Source organism: Homo sapiens, chromosome 8, assembly GCF_000001405.40.
Source record: "Homo sapiens chromosome 8, GRCh38.p14 Primary Assembly".
Classification (NCBI taxonomy): domain Eukaryota; kingdom Metazoa; phylum Chordata; class Mammalia; order Primates; family Hominidae; genus Homo; species Homo sapiens.
The window spans coordinates 85,002,286-85,023,908 of NC_000008.11; the positions used below are offsets into that span (position 1 = coordinate 85,002,286).

The window sequence follows — 21,623 nt, forward strand, 5'->3', positions numbered from 1 at the left end:
GGCTGAGGCAGGAGAATCACTTGAAACCAGAAGGCGGAGGTTGCAGTGACCCGAGATCATGCCACTGCACTCCAGCCTGGGTAAAAGAGTGAAACTCCATTTTTAAAAAAAAGTAAGCCATGTTTGCAGCTGCATAGTTTCTCATCCAGTTTCATGCCAGAATTTTGGGGAATTCAACATCTCTTTTACTATATATTATCTCTGTCCCTTTCAGTCTAAGCTGGAAGATTTCTGAAAACATAGTTTTATTAAAAACTCTTGAGTTTTCTGTGAATTTCATGAGGGTTTACTCCATTAGATAAAAGATATTCTCATGAATCTCCTCAGGATAGGCCTTCCCCTTCTCTTTTAAGCTTCTGCTCAGGTGGCTGAGAGATAAAGCCTTTAAACTTAGAAATACTACCATTGGGAGATATGCCTCAGTGAAGCATGTCATTAAGCTCTTTATAAGGCCTTTTCATTGAATGGTCCTCTTATGCACCACCATAGACCTCTCTGAGGTCTTCAGAAATAATTCGAATAAGGGTGGAAGCCACACCTGGTGCTTCAAATTTGGACCAAGATTTTCTTGCACCGTAGTTTGTTTCATCTTTGCTTGGAAACCACTTCTTAATCCAGTCTATCGTTGTTGGACACTTGGGTTGGTTCCAAGTCTTTGCTATTGTGAATAGTGCCCCAATAAACATACGTGTGCATGTGTCTTTATAGCAGCATGATTTATAGTCCTTTGGGTATATACCCAGTAATGGGATGGCTGGGTCAAATGGTATTTCTAGTTCTAGATCCCTGAGGAATCACCACACTGACTTCCACAATGGTTGAACTAGTTTACAGTCCCACCAACAGTGTAAAAGTGTTCCTATTTCTCCACATCCTCTCCAGCACCTGTTGTTTCCTGACTTTTTAATGATTGCCATTCTAACTGGTGTGAGATGGTATCTCACTGTGGTTTTGATTTGCATTTCTCTCATGGCCAGTGATGATGAGCATTTTTTCATGTGTCTTTTGGCTGCATAAATATCTTCTTTTGAGAAGTGTCTGTTCATATACTTTGCCCATTTTTTGATGGGGTTGTTCTTTTCTTGTAAACTTGTTTGAATTCTTTGTAGATTCTGGATATTAGCCCTTTGTCAGATGAGTAGATTGCAAAAATTTTCTCCCATTCTGTAGGTTGCCTGTTCACTCTGATGGTAGTTTATTTTGCTGTGCAGAAGCTCTTCAGTTTAATGAGATCCCATTGGTCAATTTTGGCTTTTGTTGCCATTGCTTTTGGTGTTTTAGACATGAAGTCCTTGCCCATTGCTATGTCCTGAATGGTATTGCCTAGGTTTTCTTCTAGGTTTTTATGGTTTTAGGTCTAACATTTAAGTCTTTCATGCATCTTGAATTAATTTTTGTATAAGGTGTAAGGAAGGGATCCAGTTTCCGCTTTCTACATATAGTCTACTGACAGCACTAGACAAGTCATCAGACAGAAAGTCAACAAAGAAACAATGGATTTAAACTATACCCTAGAACAAATGGACTTAACAGATATTTACAGAACATTCTACCCAACAAGTGCAGAATATACATTCTATTCATTAGTGCATGAACCTTTCTTCAAGATAGACCATATGATAGACCACAAAACAAGTCTCAATAAATTTAAGAAAATTGAAATTATATCAAGTACTCTCTCAAATGACAGTGAAATAAAAGCAGAAATTAACTCCAAAAAGAATCTTTAAAACCAAGCAAATACATGGAAATTAAATAACCTGCTCCTGAATGATCATTAGCTTAACAATGAAATCAAGACGGAAATTAAAACATTCTTGAACTGAATGATAACAATGACACAACCTAACAAAATCTCTGGGATACAGCAAAGGTGGTGACAGGAGGAAAGTTCACAGCCCTAAAGTCCTACATCAAAAAGCCTGAAAGAGCACAAGTAGACATCTAAGGTCACACCTCAAGGAACTAGAGAAACAAGAACAGAACAAACCCGAACCCAGCAAAAGAAAGGAAATAACTAAGATCAGAGCAGAACTAAATGAAATTGAAACAAAAAATACAAACAATAAATGAAACAAAAAGCTGATTCTCTGCAAAGATAAATAAAACTGATAGACCATTAGCAAGATTAACCAAGAAAAGAAGAAAATCCAAATAAGCTCAATTAGAAACAAAATGGGAGATATTTCAACTGACATTACAGAAATACAAAAGATCATTCAAGTCTACTATGAACACATTTATGCACATAAACTAGAAAACCTAGAGGAGATGGAAAATTCCTGGAAATATACAACCCTCCCAACTTAAATCAGGAAGAATTAGATACTCTGAACAGAACAATAACAAGCAATGAGATTGAAGTAATAATTTTTAAAATTACCAACAAAAAATGTCCAAGGCCACATGGATTCGTAGCTGAATTCTACCAGACGTTTAAAGAATAATTGGTGCCAATCTTACTGACACTATTCCACAAGATAGAGAAAGAGGGAATCCTCCCTAAATCACTCTATGAAGTATCACCCTAATACCAACACCAGGAAAGCATATAACCAAAAAGAAAACTACAGACCAATATCCCTGATGAACATAGATGTAAAAATCCTTAACAAAATACTAGGTAAACAAATCCAACAACATATCAAAAAGATAATCCACCAGGATCAAATGGGTTACATACCATGGATGCAGGGATGGTTTAACATATGCAACTCAATAAATGTGATACACCACATGAACAGAATTAAAAACAAAAATCACATGATCATCTCAATAGATGCAGAAAAAGCATTTGACAAAATGTAGCATCCCTTGATGATTAAAACTCTCAGCAAAATCAGCATACAAGGGGCATAACTCAATGTAATAAAAGCCATCTATGACAAACCCACAGCCAACATAATGCTGAATAGGGAAAAGTTGAAAGCATTCCCTCTGAGAACTGGAACAAGACCAGAATGCCCACTCTCACCACTTCTATTCAACATAGTACTGGAAGTTCTAACCAGAACAACCAGACAAGAGAAAGAAATAAAGAACATTCAAACTGGTAAAGAGGAATTTAAACTATTGCTGTTTGCTGATGACAAAACTGTATACCTAGAAAACCCTAATGACTCCTCCAAAATGGTCCTTTAACTGATCAATGAATTCAGCAAAGTTTCAGGATGTAAAATTAATATACACAAATCAGTAGCTCTGCTATACACCAACAGCAACTAAGCTGAGAATCAAATCAAGAACTCAACCACTTTTACAATAGCTGCAAAAACAAAAAAACAAAAAAACAAAACTTGAACATATACCTAACCAAGGAGGTAAAAGACCTCTACAAGGAAAACTACAAAACACTGCTGAAAGAAATCATAGATGATAAAAACAAATGGAAACACACCCCGTGCTCATGGATGGATAGAATCAATATTGTGAAAATGACCATACTGCCAAAAGCAATCTACAAATTCAATGCAATCCCTACCAAAATACCACCATAATTCTTAAGAGAACTAGAAAAAAACAATCCTAAAATTCATATGGAACCCAAAAAGAGCCCACATAGTCAAAGCAAGACTAAGCAAGAAGAACAAATCTGGAGGCATCACATTACCTCATTTCGAACTAAACTATAAGGCCATCATCACCAAAACAGCATGCTACTGGTATGAAAATAGGCACATAGACCAATGGAACGGAATAGAGAAATCAGAAATAAACCCAAATACTTATAGCCAACTAATCTTTGACAAAGCAAAACAAAGCATGAAGTGGGGAAAGGACACCCTATTCAACAACTGTGTTGGGACAATTGGCTAGCCACATGTAGGAGAATGAAACTGGATCCTCATCTCTCACCTTATACAAAAATCAACTCATGATGGATCAAAGACTTGAATCTAAGATCTGAAACTATAAAAATTCTAGAAGACAACTTTGGAAACACCCTTCTAGACATTGGCTTGGCAAGGATTTCATGATCAAGAACTCAAAAGCAAATAAAATAAAAACAAAGATAAATAGCAGGGACGTAATTAAACTAAAGAGCTTTTGCGCAGCAAAAGGAACAGTCAGCAGAGTAAACAGACAACCCATAGAGTGGGAGAAAATCTTCACAATCTGCATGTATGACAAAGGACTAATATCCAGAATCTACAATGAACTCAAACAAATTAGCAAGAAAAAAAACAAACAATGCCATCAAAACTTGGGCTAAGGATATGAATAGACAATTATCAAAATAAGATATACAAATGGCCAACAAACATATGAAAAAATGCTCACTATTGCTAATGATCAGGAAAATGCAAATCAAAACCACAATGCAATACCACCTTACTCCAAGAATGGTCATAATCAAAAAATAAAAAAAAATAGATGTTGTCATGGATGTGGTGAAAAGGGAACACTTCTACACTGCTGGTGGGAACGTAAACTAGTACAACCACTGTGGAAAACAGTGCAGAGATTCCTTAAAGAACTAAAAGTAGAACTACCATTTGATCCAGCAATCCCACTACTGGGTATCTCCCCAGGGGAACAGAAATCATTATACAAAAAAGATACCTGCACATGCTTGTTTATAGCAGCACAATTCACAATTGCAAAAATGTGGAACCAACCCAAATGTCCATCAATCAACGAGCAGATAAATAAACTGTGGTGTATATATGATGGAATAATACTCATCCATAAAACGGAATGAATTCATGGCATTCACAGCAACCTGGATGAGACTGGAGACTGTTACTCTAAGTGAAGTAACTTATGAATGGAAAACCAAACAGCGTATGTTCTCACTCATAAGTGGGAGCTAAGCTATGGGGATACAAAGGCATAAGAATGACACAATGGACTTTGGGGACTCAGGAGGAAAGAGTGGGAAGGGGGTAAGGTATAAAAGACTATAAATAGGGTTCAGTGTATACTGCTCGGGTGATGGGTGCACCAAAATCTCACAAATCACCATGAAAGAACTTACTCATGTAACCAAATACCACCTGTTCCCCAAAAACTATGGAAATAAAAAATTTTTAAAAAATCTCATTTGTCAGGAAGAAAAAAAGAACAAGTGTTGTGGACTTAATGTTTGTGTCCCTCCAAAATTCATTATGTTTTATTCCTTGCCCACAGTGTAATGGTATTAGTAAATGGGGCCTTTGGGAGGTAATTAGGTCATGACGCTGAGGCTCTCATGAATGAAATTAGTGCTTTTATAAAAGGAATCCCAGAGAGCTTTCCCTTTCCGCCTATGTGAAGATGCAATGGGGAGTTTGCAGTCTGCAATCTGGAAGAGGGCTGTCACCAGAACCAGACCTTACTGGTATATTAATCACTCCAGAACTGTGAGAAACAAATTTCTGTTGTTATGAATAACACAGCCTATGGTGATGATGTTTCTCAGGGCAAGTAGCTCAAACTGACTAAAATAGCCAGTGAACTGAAAAAGGGGAATGCCAGGCTTTTTTTTTTTAATGACCTAGTCTTCAAGTCACACACCACCACTTCTGCTTTTTGTTTTTTCCATTTGGAAGGAGTCACTAAGTCCAGCCCACACAAACTGGAGGCCTCTTGGAGGAGCATATCAAATAATTTGTGGACATAGTTTAACACCACCAATCTGGAATTTTGTTTTAGTCTTAAATCTATAGTTAAATAAATTCATTCCTCATCATTAGTCCTATTTATGAAGTTTTCCCAACCATTTACTAGTTAAATCAAGATTTTCTCTAATAAATTCTTCAAGAGCTTAGGGACATAATATTTCCTGAGTTCTGCATTTTGCCATTTCTTTTTATACTGAAGGTCAGCTGGACTAGATTAGAATTTCTAACCTAATTCTAATTCTAATCTAATCTAGATTAGAATCTCACATTCATTGCCATTGGTATCTTGTAGCTGTTGCTTGAGTTTCTTCTAGACTTTAATGTTTAGGCAGAGAAAAGTATGGCAATCTAATTTTCTTTTCTTTTTAAGTAACTTTTTTTCTGCCTAGACACCCAAAGCATTTTTTTAAGTTTAATAATTTTATCAGGATATGCTTGAGTTAACATTTTTGTCATCTTACCAGATATGTAGTATCTGCTTGCAATATATATGCAGGTCTTTTTTATTTCTTAAGTTTTCATTTCTTGAAAGCTTCTTGAATTTTGAATTATAATTTTACACATGTTTTATGCTTAATTATTTTAGTTCTCTTCTTCAGGGGAAACATATATATTTATATGGAAAAATATATATACTTCAGGGGAAAAATATATGTATATATACATATATTATCATATAAATACATATGTAATTGTTATTGATTGAATTGCACTGCCCTAAAAGAGATAGGTTGAAGTCATAACCCCCAAGTACCTCAGAATATTACTTTATTTGGAAATAGGGTCATTACAGAGGAAACTAGTTAAAATGAAGTTATATTGTAGTAGAGTGGACCCCTCATTGAGTATGAACGGCATCCTTATAAGAAGTCAGCCATGTGAAGAAACAAACACACAGAGAGAATGCCATGTGACAACAAAGTTAGAGATTGGAGTCCTGAAGCTGCAAGCCAAAGATACCAAAGATTGCCAGCAAACCACCAGACTCTGGGAAGAGGCAAGGAAGGATTGATTTCCCTGCAGGTTTCAGAGGGAGCATGGCCTCGCTGACACCTTGATTTTGGACTTTAGCCTCCTGAACTGTGAGACAATTAAGTTTCTATTGTTTAAAGCCACTCAGTTTGTAGTACATTGTTATGGTAGCTCTAAGAAATGAATACGATTATCTTTTTTGATTGACTTTTTTATATCATTTTGGGTGACCCCGTTTATGTCTGTTTCATTTCCTCTTCTCAAGGATTTTTTTTCAGTTGCTCTGTGAAGAATAGTTTCTTTAATATATGATGCTTTTTTATGGTCAGGCTACCTTTGATTTTCAGAATCTATCTTGTTTCAGCTGAATCATACTATAAACTACCTCCTTTCTTCTCTATCCTGTACTAGTAGTTGCTGTCTCTAAACAGTACAACCTCAACCTTCTAAGGTGACTCTCTTTCACCCACAGATTCACTTTCTGGGACCCTTCATTGTAATTCCCCTTTGTTGGTGTTATGACCCATCAGGCATAATATCTACTCTCAGAAGTTTCTTTCCAGGTGGAGCTCTGTTTTTTGGGTAACTCACCCTTATTGGTCCTGCCTTCCACCTCTGCAAAGACTCCCTACACCCTCTTGTGCATCTCCTGCTGAACTCTCCAAACTGCTCTGGTCTGGTGTCAGGGTATTATCCCCCTTTGTATATAAAAATTAAAGCTTGTTGGAATTTCCTCCTAGTAACACTGTGAGTAGTGGTTATGAATGCTGTTACTTGTGAAGCTATAATGTGGGATCTATATTATGCAGAAAGTTAGGGTGAAGCTAAAACACTAGATCACCTAATTTAAAGGTTGTGTACACTCACTTGTTTGGAGCATACCAAATGACTGCTGTGGTTGCTTGAACATTTTATAAAGTAAATAGAATCTTTGCTTCAGTTTTATCAACTCACAGGTTTTGGATGTCATAGTGGAACTTATATTACCTGCACAAGATGGAGGTAGGTATGGATTATAATAAGGGTTCATATTCAACAGAAGCCAAGATGCTCAACTTCTCCAACCCCCATTTTTCTTATTTATAAAATGGTTCTAGTATTAGTCATCTTGCATTATTCTTCTCAGTTCTACAATTGATAATTAATGTAAGCATAATATTTTTAGCATAGAGCATAGTATGTCATGGGCATTAAAAAATTGATAGTAGTTATTATTAAAAATAATATAACATTAATATTAGTATACTCAGTGAACCAATTAAATACGAGCTAATTTGGCCTGTTAGTCATTTTAATATATGAAACTGATTTAAATCATAAAGCCCTTCTGAAGCTCTGGAGCACATCAACCTGTCAAAGGAAACTGAGAAGGTGATTAAAAAAGCATTGGTTAGAAAAAGATAAGTTGTAAATTCATTTTCTCACTCAGCTCAGAGTGGCACATGCTGATACATTTTATACATGACAGTCTTGATTCTTATGAAGACTTGGAATAAAATGAAAATAATTGAATTAGAAACTGCATCATTCACTTCAGGGAATATTACAACAGGTCCTGCTGTGGATGCAAGTGCATTTAAAGAGAATATATACCCAGGTACATTGTTCAAATTCCACTTGGAAAATAATATTATATCCTCGGGAATTCAATGCTCATAGATAGCACCGATGGTGTAGCAACTGAACATTTTTCTTCTGCTGTAAACAGAGACAAGTTGAGTAGCCATCTGAATTATGTGAGTATTCTGGTGTTATCATAGTTGTTTCAACTATAATTTAAGGTAGTATTTTATAAACCTGCCTGGCCATTAGAACTACCTGGTAAACTTTTCAGACAAATTTGCTTCTGAGTGCCCCCACACCTGCCGAAACATCATCTATTTGTTATAAGTTTCCTCAGGTGGTTGGAAGAATCATAATTAGGGATGTTTCAGCTTACTCTGTATTTCCTGGGATTTGGGTTATGAGGCCAAACAAGTAGATTATGAGGTTGGGGGTGTAGAACAACAACATAGGTCCTTGCTTTTCAAAGTGTGAGTCCATGGGTCTGCAGCATCAGCTTCGCCCGGGAGCTCATGCTGAGCTGATACCTTTCCTCAGACGTGCTGTATAAAACATGAATTTTAATGTGATTCCTGTGCTTCGTATGCATACCAAGGTTTAAACTGCATCAACATAGACCTGTTACAGAACACATTTTGACTTTATCAAAAATTGAACATAAAAACTTCATGGACCAAATAAAGAGTGAAGATGTAAAATCAAAGGGGGAAAATATTGATGGGTTCATGTAGAAACTCCCAAGAGTACAGCAGTTGCTTTATATATAATACAAAATTGTTATTGTACTTACAAATATAAAAATCTATTTCATTCGTTAGTCTGAAACCAGAAATGAGTTCATCCACTACCATTCATTATTGCTATGTTGCTTATTAAGCTTTGTAGTTGGAAACTGGTGGTCTAAGTTTGACTTGTAATTTATCCTTCTCTGATTGACAGGTGAAATTTGTAATAGAGGCAGCTAGCAAAGAAAAAACTAAAAATGAACGTCTTTTCCTGCTTTTTTTTTTTTTGAGAAAAAAACATTTACAAAGTGGTTGACAGAAATTTATTAATTTCTCCTAGGCTTTCCTAATTAGCTCCGCCAGACTATCATCACTGCGACCTTTGTGATTCTCTCTTAAACCTGAGTTATATCACATCTAGATCTGTGTTTTAGAATCACTTATTTTTTTTTGTTGTTCATATTTTAATTCCTGGAGGGCAATTTGTAGTTTCTGTTTCTTGTAGTTCCCAATGCCTCCATTGTCTCTGTCTCTACCATCAAATAACTAGGGCGATCACATATCCTGATTTAATTGGAACAATCCAATATGTCTGTTGTCTCAGAGTAATTATAAATAGTGTTTCCTTTAACTTTAAAAAGTGTTCTGGTTAGAACTATAAGTCATATGGACTCCCATCTGTATTGAAGATGAAACAGAGCTGTGGCTAATTTGTTTAAGAAGACCCTTTTCTTCAGGGAGTCTTAATAGCTGTTGCCAGAGGAGACTTCCAACTACTCTGCATCCTCCTAGCATATCCCTCCTCCCTTTTCTTCTCTTTGCTATAGCTGTCTTTGATAATGTGAAAAAGCAAATATTCAAATGATGAGAAATGATTCTTTGGCAATTTCTAGTTTACTAGATATGATTCTAGTTTACTACGTATGACTGTATTGCAGTCATTTTATTTTATTTTATTTTCTCATGATGCTTTAACATTTTAAAAGTTTGCCAGTCTGTGTCCTTTAATTGGAGCATTTAGTCCATTTACATTTAAAGTTAATATTGTTATGTGTGAATTTGATCCTGTCATTATGATGTTAGCTGGTTATTTAAATTGACACCCTAACATCATAATTAAAAGAACTAGAAAAGCAAGAGCAAACACATTCAAAAGCTAGCAGAAGGCAAGAAATAACTAAAATCAGAGCAGAACTGAAGGAAATAGAGACACAGAAAACCCTTCAAAAAATTAATGAATCCAGGAGCTGGTTTTTTGAATGGATCAACAAAATTGATAGACCGCTAGCAAGACTAATAAAGAAGAAAAGAGAGAAGAATCAAATAGATGCAATAAAAAATGATAAAGGGGATGTCAGCACCGATCCCACAATAATACAAACTACCATCAGAGAATACTACAAACACCTCTACTCAAATAAACTAGAAAATCTAGAAGAAATGGATAAATTCCTCGACACATACACCCTCCCAAGACTAAACCAGGAAGAAGTTGAATCTCTGAATAGACCAATAACAGACTCTGAAATTGTGGCAATAATCAATAGCTTACCAACCAAAAAGAGTCCAGGACCAGATGGATTCACAGCCGAATTCTAACAGAGGTACAAGGAGGACCTGGTACCATTCCCTCTGAAACTATTCCAATCAATAGTAAAAGAGGGAATCCTCCCTAACTCATTTTATGAGGCCAGCATCATCCTGATACCAAAGCTGGGCAGAGACACAACCAAAAAAGAGAATTTTAGACCAATATCCTTGATGAACATTGATGCAAAAATCCTCAATAAAATACTGGCAAACCGAATCCAGCAGCACATCAAAAAGCTTATCCAACTTGATCAAGTGGGCTTCATCCCTGGGATGCAAGGCTGGTTCAATAAACGCAAATCAATAAATGTAATCCAGCATATAAACAGAACCGAAGACAAAAACCACATGATTATCTCAATAGATGCAGAAAAGGCCTTTGACAAAATTCAACAATGCTTCATGCTAAAAACTTTCAATAAATTAGGTATTGATGGGACGTATCTCAAAATCATAAGAGCTATCTATGACAAACCCACAGCCAATATCATACTGAATGGGCAAAAACTGGAAGCATTCCCTTTGAAAACTGGCACAAGACAGGGATGCCCTCTCTCACCACTCCTATTCAACATAGTGTTGCAAGTTCTGGCCAGGGCAATTAGGCAGGAGAAGGGAATAAAGGGTGTTCAATTAGGAAAAGAGGAAATCAAATCGTCCCTGTTTGCAGATGACATGATTGTATATCTAGAAAACCCCATTGTCTCAGCCCAAAATCTCCTTAAGCTGATAGGCAACTTCAGCAAAGTCTCAGGATACAAAATCAATGTACAAAAATCACAAGCATTCTTATACACCAATAACAGACAAACAGAGAGCCAAATCATGAGTGAACTCCCATTCACAATTGCTTCAAAGACAATAAAATACCTAGGAATACAACTTACAAGGGACGTGAAGGACCTCTTCAAGGAGAACTACAAACCACTGCTCAATGAAATAAAAGAGGATACAAACAAATGGAAGAACATTCCATGCTCATGGGTAGGAAGAATCAATATCATGAAAATGGCCATATTGCCCAAGGTAATTTATAGATTCAATGCCATCCCCATCAAGCTACCAATGACTTTCTTCACAGAATTGGAAAAAACTACTTTAAAGTTCACATGGAACCAAAAAAGAGCCCGCATCACCAAGTCAATCCTAAGCCAAAAGAACAAAGCTGGAGGCATCACGCTACCTGACTTCAAACTATACTACAAGGCTACAGTAACCAAAACAGCATGGTACTGGTACCAAAACAGAGATATAGATCAATGGAACAGAACAGAGCCCTCAGAAATAACGCCGCTTATCTACAACTATCTGATCTTTGACAAACCTGACAAAAACAAGCAATGGGGAAAGGATTCCCTATTTAATAAATGTCGCTGGGAAAACTGGCTAGCCATATTTAGAAAGCTGAAACTGGATCCCTTCCTTACACCTTATACAAAAATTAATTCAAGATGGATTAAAGACTTACATGTCAGACCTGAAACCATGAAAACCCTAGAAGAAAACCTAGGCATTATCATTCAGGACATAGGCATGGGCAAGGACTTCATGTCTAAAACACCAAAAGCAATGGCAACAAAAGCCAAAATTGACAAATGAGATCTAATTAAACTAAAGAGCTTCTGCACAGCAAAAGAAACTGCCATCAGAGTGAACAGGCAACATACAAAATGGGAGAAAATTTTCACAACCTACTCATCTGACAAAGGGCTAATATCCAGAATCTACAATGAACTCAAACAAATTTACAAGAAAAAAACAAACAAACCCATCAAAAAGTGGGCGAAGGACACGAACAGACACTTCTCAAAGGAAGACATTTATGCAGCCAAAAAACACATGAAAAAATGCTCACCATCACTATCCATGAGAGAAATGCAAATCAAAACCACAATGAGATACCATCTCACACCAGTTAGAATGGCAATCATTAAAAAGTCAGGAAACAACAGGTGCTGGAGAGGATGTGGAGAAATAGGAACACTTTTACACTGTTGGTGGGACTGTAAACTAGTTCAACCATTGTGGAAGTCAGTGTGGTGATTCCTCAGGGATCTAGAACTAGAAATACCATTTGACCCAGCCATCCCATTACTGGGTATATACCCAAAGGACTATAAATCATGCTGCTATAAAGACACATGCACACGTATGTTTATTGGGGCACTATTCACAATAGCAAAGACTTGGAACCAACCCAAATGCCCAACAATGATAGACTGGATTAAGAAAATGTGGCACATATACACCATGGAATACTATGCAGCCATAAAAAAGGATGAGTTCACGTCCTTTGTAGGGACATGGATGAAATTGGAAATCATCATTCTCAGTAAACTATCGCAAGAACAAAAAACCAAACACCGCATATTCTCACTCATAGGTGGGAATTGAACAATGAGAATGCATGGACACAGGAAGGGGAACATCACACTCTGGGGACTGTTGTGGGGTGGGTGGAGTGGGGAGGGACAGCTTTAGGAGATATACCTAATGCTAAATGACGAGTTAATGGGTGCAGCACACCAGCATGGTACATGTATACATAGGTTTTTCCAAATATAAGATTATATCATCTACATACAAGGATAATTTTACTTCTTCCTTTCCAATTTGGATGCATTTTATTTCATCCTCTTGTCTGATTGCTCTGGCTAGGGCTTTCAGTGCTATGTTTAATAACAGTGATGAAAGTGGGCATGCTTGCCATGTTCCAGATTAAGAGGAAAGCCTTTCAGTTTTTCTCCATTCAGTATGATACTAGCCTGTGGGTCTGTCATTTATGGCTTTCATTATGTTGAGGTATGTTCCTTCTATACCCAGTTTTTTGAGGGATTTTAAATCATGAAGTGATGTTGAATTTTTGAAATAATTTTTCATCATCAATTGAAATGAGCATATGGATTTTATCCTTCATTCTGTTGATATGATGTATCACACTGATTGATCTGCATATGTTGAACCATCCTTGCAGTCCTGGGAATAAATCCTTCTATTTGCACTTTAAGGATAAATTTCTATTCTATATAGGACCAACTGACTCCCCTAATATTTGGGAAGCTTGGAGCAAAAGAAAAATAGAGACTTACATGGCATACATCTAAATATTTAAAGTTATAAGTTAAGCCAATAAACACAAATAAAATGTGTCATACGCTTCTACATTTACAGTTCTTGGAAGCCTCAGAATGCCACCCAAAAATGTGGCAGTGTAGGAAAAGCCAGCCCCACATCAAAGTGCACTCAGCTCCTGTCCCTGGCTTTTCCTCCCTTCTTTGCACCTGTCTTTGTTCCACACCATGTGGATTCTCATGCCACAGATATGTCTATTCAAACCTACACATCTAAGCTCTGGCTACATCTCCCATTCTGCAACCAGCCACTCCAAAGCCACCTCTTGTGCCAAGAGATGTACTCATCATTCGTGCAGTTCTCATTTTGGACCATAAATCTTGCCTGAGACCAAACTCAAGGAAAAAGACTCATGCAGATTCTGCAAGTAAGTTGAACATTGTTTGAGAAAGGCATCCCTTCCCCATTTTCTGGGGCCCCGAATACCCAAAACATGGTCTCGATAAAAAGATGGTGCAAATGTTGCATAGGCATGTTCCACTGGACCCACAGACTCTCCATATAATGGAGAACATGATGGCAAATGGAGAACCAAAGCAGAGTAAGAACCCTTTTGTGTGAGTGTAAGGGTAATATTATAGATTAAAATAGTTTACTAATTTTCCAGAGAAACACTCTCATGGGTAACATCCTTAGATTTTTTTGTGTGTCCTTTTTATGTATCTTCCCCCAATCAAAGGACCAATGGCAAGTCCAAGACAAGAATATTTAAATTTTAAAAGTCAGGGATGTGGCCGGGCGCGGTGGCTCACGCCTGTAATCCCAGCACTTTGGGAGGCCGAGGCGGGCGGATCACGAGGTCAGGAGATCGAGACCATCCCGGCTAAAACGGTGAAACCCCGTCTCTACTAAAAATACAAAAAATTAGCCGGGCGTAGTGGCGGGCGCCTGTAGTCCCAGCTACTTGGGAGGCTGAGGCAGGAGAATGGCGTGAACCCGGGAGGCGGAGCTTGCAGTGAGCCGAGATCCCGCCACTGCACTCCAGCCTGGGCGACAGAGCGAGACTCCGTCTCAAAAAAAAAAAAAAAAAAAAAAAGTCAGGGATGTTGGACTCAGAGAAATAGATGGAAAATTGTTAGCAACATCCATATAATAAGACACAGACACCACTCTTTTCTAACAGTGTAATTTATTATATTAGAACTTGGAGGTCCCATCACTGTGCAGCTGCCCTTAAGGAGGTCTGCATGTCGATCCAAAGCATGCACTATGTTTGTTCAATTCTTTTTCACTTTGGATGCAATCTGTCCTACTAGAAAAAGTAACCATTTACACGAGTTCCTAGCCAGTACTCAACACTAGGAATCCAGATTACTTCAGAGGAATAAGCATTTGTTGATCTGGATAGTGGTACTACATAGGAGATTTTAAAAGTTGGAAAGAACAACCTATATAGGAAAGACTGGGCTGAACTGGGCAAGTGGAACTCTAACCCCTCATACTGCAGGAAGAGGCAGAAAGGGAGTTTCTCAGGATTTCCCTGATTTAACAGCCTGCTCAGTGGCTGTTATGTCCACAATTTGTGGGTGATCTGCACAGAAGTGGCACCAGACCTCATTGAAAAATGAAGTATGCCTATAATGCTTAGTGCTCCTCTCTGTCATGACCCTCTGGCTTCCTTCATTGCTTGCCCTCAGGTGGCTGGGACCCCCATTATAATTTCATCTGTCCACTTCCATAGCAGATTTAATCATCACCAGCACCTCAACGACAGATCTGGGGCAGTCTTGCTGTAGCAAAAGATTGCTAATTTCTGAAATCATTAAATGTAAGAAATGCAAAGAACTTTAGCTGGTATCTAACCCAAATCCTTCATTTTACAGATGGGCAAGATGAAGCCTAAAAATATAAGTGAAATATGCTGGATTACATAGCTTGGGACTTGAATCTAGGGAAGAGGAAAGGAAAAGAAACAGAACTAGGTAATTGTAAACTATTAATATTCAATGGGTACTCTGATGGTTAATTTTAGGTGTCTGCTTGACTGGACTAAGAGGGACACAGAAAGCTAGTACAACATTATTTCTAGGTATACCTGTGAGGATGTTTCCAGAAGAGATTGACATTTGAATCCGTGGACTGAGTAAGGAAGATCCACCCTCAATGCAGGCAGACACTATCCAATCTGAGGGCCCAGATAGAACAACAGGGCAGAGGAAATGGGAATTCACTTTCTCCAGGAGGTGGGACACAATTCTTCTCCTGCCCTTGGACATGAGAACTCCAGATTCTTCAGCCTTTGGAGACTCGGACTTGCAACAGTGCCCCCCGAGGTTCTCAGGTCTTCACTCTTGAACTGAGAGTTACACCAGTGGCTTCCCTAGTTCTGAAGCCTTAAGACTTGGACTGAGCCACCCTATCAGCCTCCCTGGTTCTCCAGCTTGCAGACAACCTACCGCAAGACTTCTTAGCCTCTATAATCATGTGAGCCAATTTCCCTAATAAATCTACTCTCATCTATCTATCTAATCTACCTATCTACCTATTATCTATCTATCTATCTATCTATTTATCTATCTAACATATTGGTTCTGAAGACTGATGTGAGAATTAAAAACTGAAACTGAGTCAAGTGCCTGGCACATTGTATACATCTGAAAATTTATTTTTAAGTTCCTGCTATGCTACTATCTACCTTAATGACTTTGGGGGATGTTTCTCAAAATCTTTTGTTGTATCTCAGTTTCATTATTTTGATGATGGAAGTGATAATAATGGCAAGGACCTCAAAGCAAGCTCTATGCTGGACCTAGTTATCATTAAAGGGCTAAGTTGCAGTGTCAGCTATGGACAAATCATAAAACACAAGGAGACTCGGGACATCTGTGACCTGTCAGGACTCGTGTCTCACATGCTAAACCCCCATGTCAAACTATGTCTTTATCAGGAATAAGGAGGGCATTGGGGTGCAGATTCCTTAAGCATTAGACATTTTCAATTTCCTTTTATCAGGTACCGTAATAAGAACATATCTGATACATATAACGTGCCAGGCACTTGACTCAGTTTCAGTTTTTAATTCTCACATCAGTTTTCTAAAATGAGTATTTCTTAACCCCTTTTATAGAAGAGTGAATAGAGGCTCAGATAAGCTAAGTGACTCCTAGATCACAGAGCAAGTGAGGGACAGAGACAGGATTCAAGTCCAAGTTCTTTCCACCACACCAAGCTGCTTCTTATATTTTATATACCTTTATGTACCCTACAATATAGGTGGTACAAAAGGTGGGCATCTGTTAACAACCTGTTCATTTTAAAATAGCCTGCAGCAAGGCAGAATGATCATGAAATGGAGAATTTGCTACTCTCTTTCCATTGTTAGTGCCGTGATAAAGCTGGTGGTCATCAGAGTAGTTCTGTTCAGTTCACAATAATATGAATAACAACTCACTGTTCTAGTTACAAAGCACTTTTATAATCCCAAACTCAAATGCCTGTGACGTCATTGCCATTATTATCATTTCCATCATCAAAATAATGAAACTGAGATACAACAAAAGATTTTGAGAAACATCTCCCAAAGCCATTAAGGTAGGTAGTAGCATAGTGGTAAAAACAAGTTTTCTGACTATACGCCTCAAGCTTTTGATGAATCTAAAGTTCTATAAAAATTTGAATGGCCTGTGAATACAGAGTAGTTTCTTACTAATGCAGTCAGTCAATATACATTTATTATTTGGAAAATGGCAGAGAATCACAACTCTTATCTAACTCAACTGTTTCTAAACATTCATAGAAATTTAATCTGTTAATAATTGAGTTCGGGATGGCTGGGGCACTTAGAAGAATAGACTATTTTAGTGTCACAGGTGAGACAAAGAACAGGCCGAGAAGCTCATGAATCGCTGCATTCCTCTGACTGATTACAGAAAAACAAGAAATTCAGTGCTGCTAAAATTGGGCTTCAGAATCATTTTCACAACAACCCATACATCATCCCTGAATTTCCTGAAAGAACATGTTTAGGTAATGATTGAAGTCAAGTATGATTCTTTCAAAGGTTTTTCCTTTAAGTAATTTTATTAGTAAAATTATGTTTAAAATATATATATAGTATGTATATACACTGTATGTATAGTACATAGTATAGTATATATATACATATACTATATATTTTGTCCCTATATATATACACACACACACCATATATATAGTGTGTGTATATTCTGATTCTCACCCATAATGTTTCTATAGATATATCATTTTGGCTTAGATGAAAGCAAGCAAGCAAGCAAAAAGATGAATCACTTCATCTAATTATCTCCTCCTTAAAATATAACTCTTTAAAGTGCTAATAAGTGCTTCTTAAATAAATAAATAAATAAATAAATAAATATAATGGGGGAATAATATTGAAGGAATTTGTTGTATTTATCTTATTAATGTGGAGTGGTAAAAATTATTTTAGTATACAATAATAGTGTAATAAACTTACAAGACTGGGTCTTTTTTAATACCGGAACTTGTATTTCCAAATGAGAGTTTGAAAATAGGGTAGAATATACATATACAAATGAAAAGTGAATGATGTTGTCAGCCCCCTGTACACATTTTTATAATGCTGCCATTGGTGAAGCTTTTTAACATCTTCTTCTAGAATTACTTTCAAAGTCAGTGGCATGTTCTTTTAAATGAATGGGATGGTGGCAAATGCCCATTCTTTTGGCAGTCTTTTATTTTTGGAACAATAAAATACTCATTTGTTTCCAAGTCTAGTAATTATTGGGAGTCTATGGAGTTATATTTAGAAGTCAGTACTTCACAGTCAAAGAAATCTTAACTTGAGAGTTAAGAAAATGATAAGTCTTAAGATAAAAGCAATTCTAGGCCTGACAGGTATGAATTTTCCCCGTTCAAGGTGTTTTCGGGTTTGTTTGTTTGGTGGGGTGAGAGTGGTGAAGTATGGAGGAGTGTGTGTATTAGCAGCACATTCTTTCCACAGCCTTCTATTCCAACAGCAAAAACTATTTCAACTACATAGATATTTCCTATCTTGATTTCTGTTTTCAGGATTATAGGTTAAAGCATACATATACTTCCCATTCACAATAATAAACTCAGAGAGGCACCAAATGAATTTTCTGAACCAAAGAGTTTTTCAGTTTACATTTCCTGAGTTCATGCACCTAAAAATGACACAAGTCTCTGGTAAATCTTTCTTAAGACAAGACCTGTAATATTTTTATGTAATTATGAATACCGTGGTAGCCTAAGCTGAGGAAAAAATAGCATCTTTAGTTATAATTTAATTTCATTTGGAATTAAATCACCTATTCATCATAATTAGTATTAGTTAGATTATGCTGTATGTTAGAGCCTTTATACATAGACAGAAACTTTTGGTGCGAAATGGTCCTAATGAATATAGAGCTTTCTTTTCATCTAAAAAAAAATAGTGATGTTATCCTGGCTTTTGGTTCTGTAAGAAAAGTTACTGGGCTCCAAAATAAGGTTCTTTGTTAATGTGAGGATCTTCATTCATTAAGAATAAATTACTATATTACTGACTCTCAGTCCAGGGTAAAACTACTTAGCCTCTCTGTTATTGGTTCATGTAATAATAGCTCTAGAATATGTTCTTTTCATTCAACAGCATCAACCAATGGACCAACCGTGAAGGTGAATAATCTGAGACATAATTCACAAGGATTTGAAACAAATAAAAATTTTAATGATAATAAAAATGAATGTAAATATATTAAAAAGCCAAATTTTAAAATAATACTTTCCCTGATTTTAATATACTTCCACCTGCTGAACAAATTTTTCTGCTTGATATTTCTTTAATCCAAATTCTATTGTATAAACCTAAGTTGAGTTTATAGTTCATCCAGGAGTCTTAATGGAGCAAAGAGGCAAAAAATATCACCAAATTGTTGTTGTTCTATGTCAGCAAAATGACTACCATTGCTATAGATTTGGGTTGCAGAGGGGAAATCTGGCTTATTGATTATTTAGCATTACTTCAACTAGTGTTGTGCTGTGGTAGTGTTACAGTAGGCAGACAGCTAGAGCTAGACATGACCAGGAGCAAGAGCCCCTGAGAAAAAGGAGGTCTGGATAATCTCACACCCCAGAAACCACCCGAAACATGCGTGCAGATATGAGCAAAGAGGAGGGAAAAAAACTATACAGGAAGCAGAGCTCCTTAAGATGCCCAGTAATCACTCATTCTACAGTTAAGGTGTCAGAATCTCACTAGGTATATGCTGATAAAGGGGAAGAGCTCAAAGGAGAAAATTTGTCAGAGATTCGCAGGCACAGTTTAGATTCGACCCGCTAAACAACCTTCCTGGGGGTGGCGGTAATGAGCAACGCAGCCATTAGACAAACTTGAGATCCAACACCGAGCGCACGTATGCGCACCAACTAATAGTAAGGGAGGGTCCTACAAGCCTGGCGTAGGAACTAGGAGGGGAAAAGTCAGGGATTTAAGACAGGAGCGGGAAAACTAGACAGAGAAAAAAGGCAGAGATTAAAGAAATAGGAGCTAACTTCAAGAAAAAAAACCAACAGCATCAAAACCCAAGTCTCGGGCTGCTGCTGGCTCACCCTCTTCCGGTAGCCCGTTCGGCCTTATCTTTCAGTGTACCGTCTATCTATAAACTCTCTGCTCTCGATTTCCCTTCAATAAAGCTCTCTGTTATCTGAATTGTCACTTGGCCGAAATCTTTCTCCCTGGACAACTAAGAACCGTGGATTCCCTTACTACCTGGTAACAGAGGCACTTTCACAAGCTACTACTACTAACAGCACATTATTCGCTATGTGCTATTGACAGCATATTATTCACTTTCACAAGCTACTAACAGCACGCTATTCACTATGTTCAAAATACTTCGTACGTATTAATACATTTAACACTCACAACACCCTGTAAGAAAGAACCACTCTTACTCTTCTTTTACAGATGAAGAAATAGAGGTACAGAGTGGTTAAGTAATAGACAAAAATTACATTTATGAAAAGACCAAAATGTTTCATTGAAAAGAAAATCCGTCAGACAAGGACAAAAATGAGCTTTGTTTGCAATAAACAAGACAGAGATACTGGAGATAAGCATTCCTTCAGCTGGATCGGGCTGCAGACCCTATGCTCCCTCTAAAATCTTGCAGTGGGTGAAAACAATATGTTTTTTCCAAGCAAGCAAACTTCAGTTTATACTGGGAGACTATACAAATGCACATTACATGGAATAAGAACTTGAATGCACAAATACATGTTAACGAACTATATTGTTTAGAGGTCAAAAGAATTAAGTATTTAACTGGAATTTTAATTAGAATTCTGGGGAAATAACCATTTTTACTGAAAAGAATTGAATAAATGTATTTATTGAAAACAAAGAAGGGAACTGTTCACCTTTTGATTAATTTACAACGCAGAACCAAAGTCTTGTGGGCTTTGAATATGCTCATTTATTAAAAGAATTGTTAAGTGCTTCTATTAGATTGCATGTCATTCATTACACTACGACTTTCAACAATTTACTCAATTTCCAATATTAAGAATAGTTCACTTATTGTGGATAAAACTGGGTTATGAGATTAGAATGTATTTATCAAGTCTTAAAATTAATCCAAGGTATTCAGTATTAAATGATAACTTGTATTACAAAACTACTTGGAGCAGTACTATGTTGAGCTTTATGGTTCTCTTCAATTAATGTTTAGATTTTTTCTTTAGAAATGGTAATGTTAGATTTTGTATAAATAATAGATGTCATAAACATCAACATTATTCATTTTTTATTGGTAGATTATTAACTGAAGATCTTTTTAACAAAATTTTAACTTTCAATAAGAATTCGAGAAAGAAGCAGCTCAACTAAAGCTGAAATATTTAGGGGCAGTTTCTTAGAGGACAGAGACGGTGAGGTGACAGAATAATGGGCAGTCATCAAGCAAGCATGGGTGAGAAGAGGGAGAAATTCAAGTAACAAAATCATAATTGAAAAACATCAAGGTAGTTGACGTACGTAGATGCAGTCTAAAAAGACTAACGTTTTCTATGACCAAGTATTTTCTGTAGTCTATCA

At 36.9% G+C, this 21,623-nt stretch overlaps 1 annotated feature.

Moving 5' to 3' along the window:
* Positions 7,060 to 7,139: an enhancer, noted in NCBI's record as "active region_27588". NCBI's record gives its function as "activates an Ori minimal core promoter by ATAC-STARR-seq in GM12878 lymphoblastoid cells {active_cell/tissue: GM12878}" and the evidence as "EXISTENCE:reporter gene assay evidence [ECO:0000049][PMID:35858748]".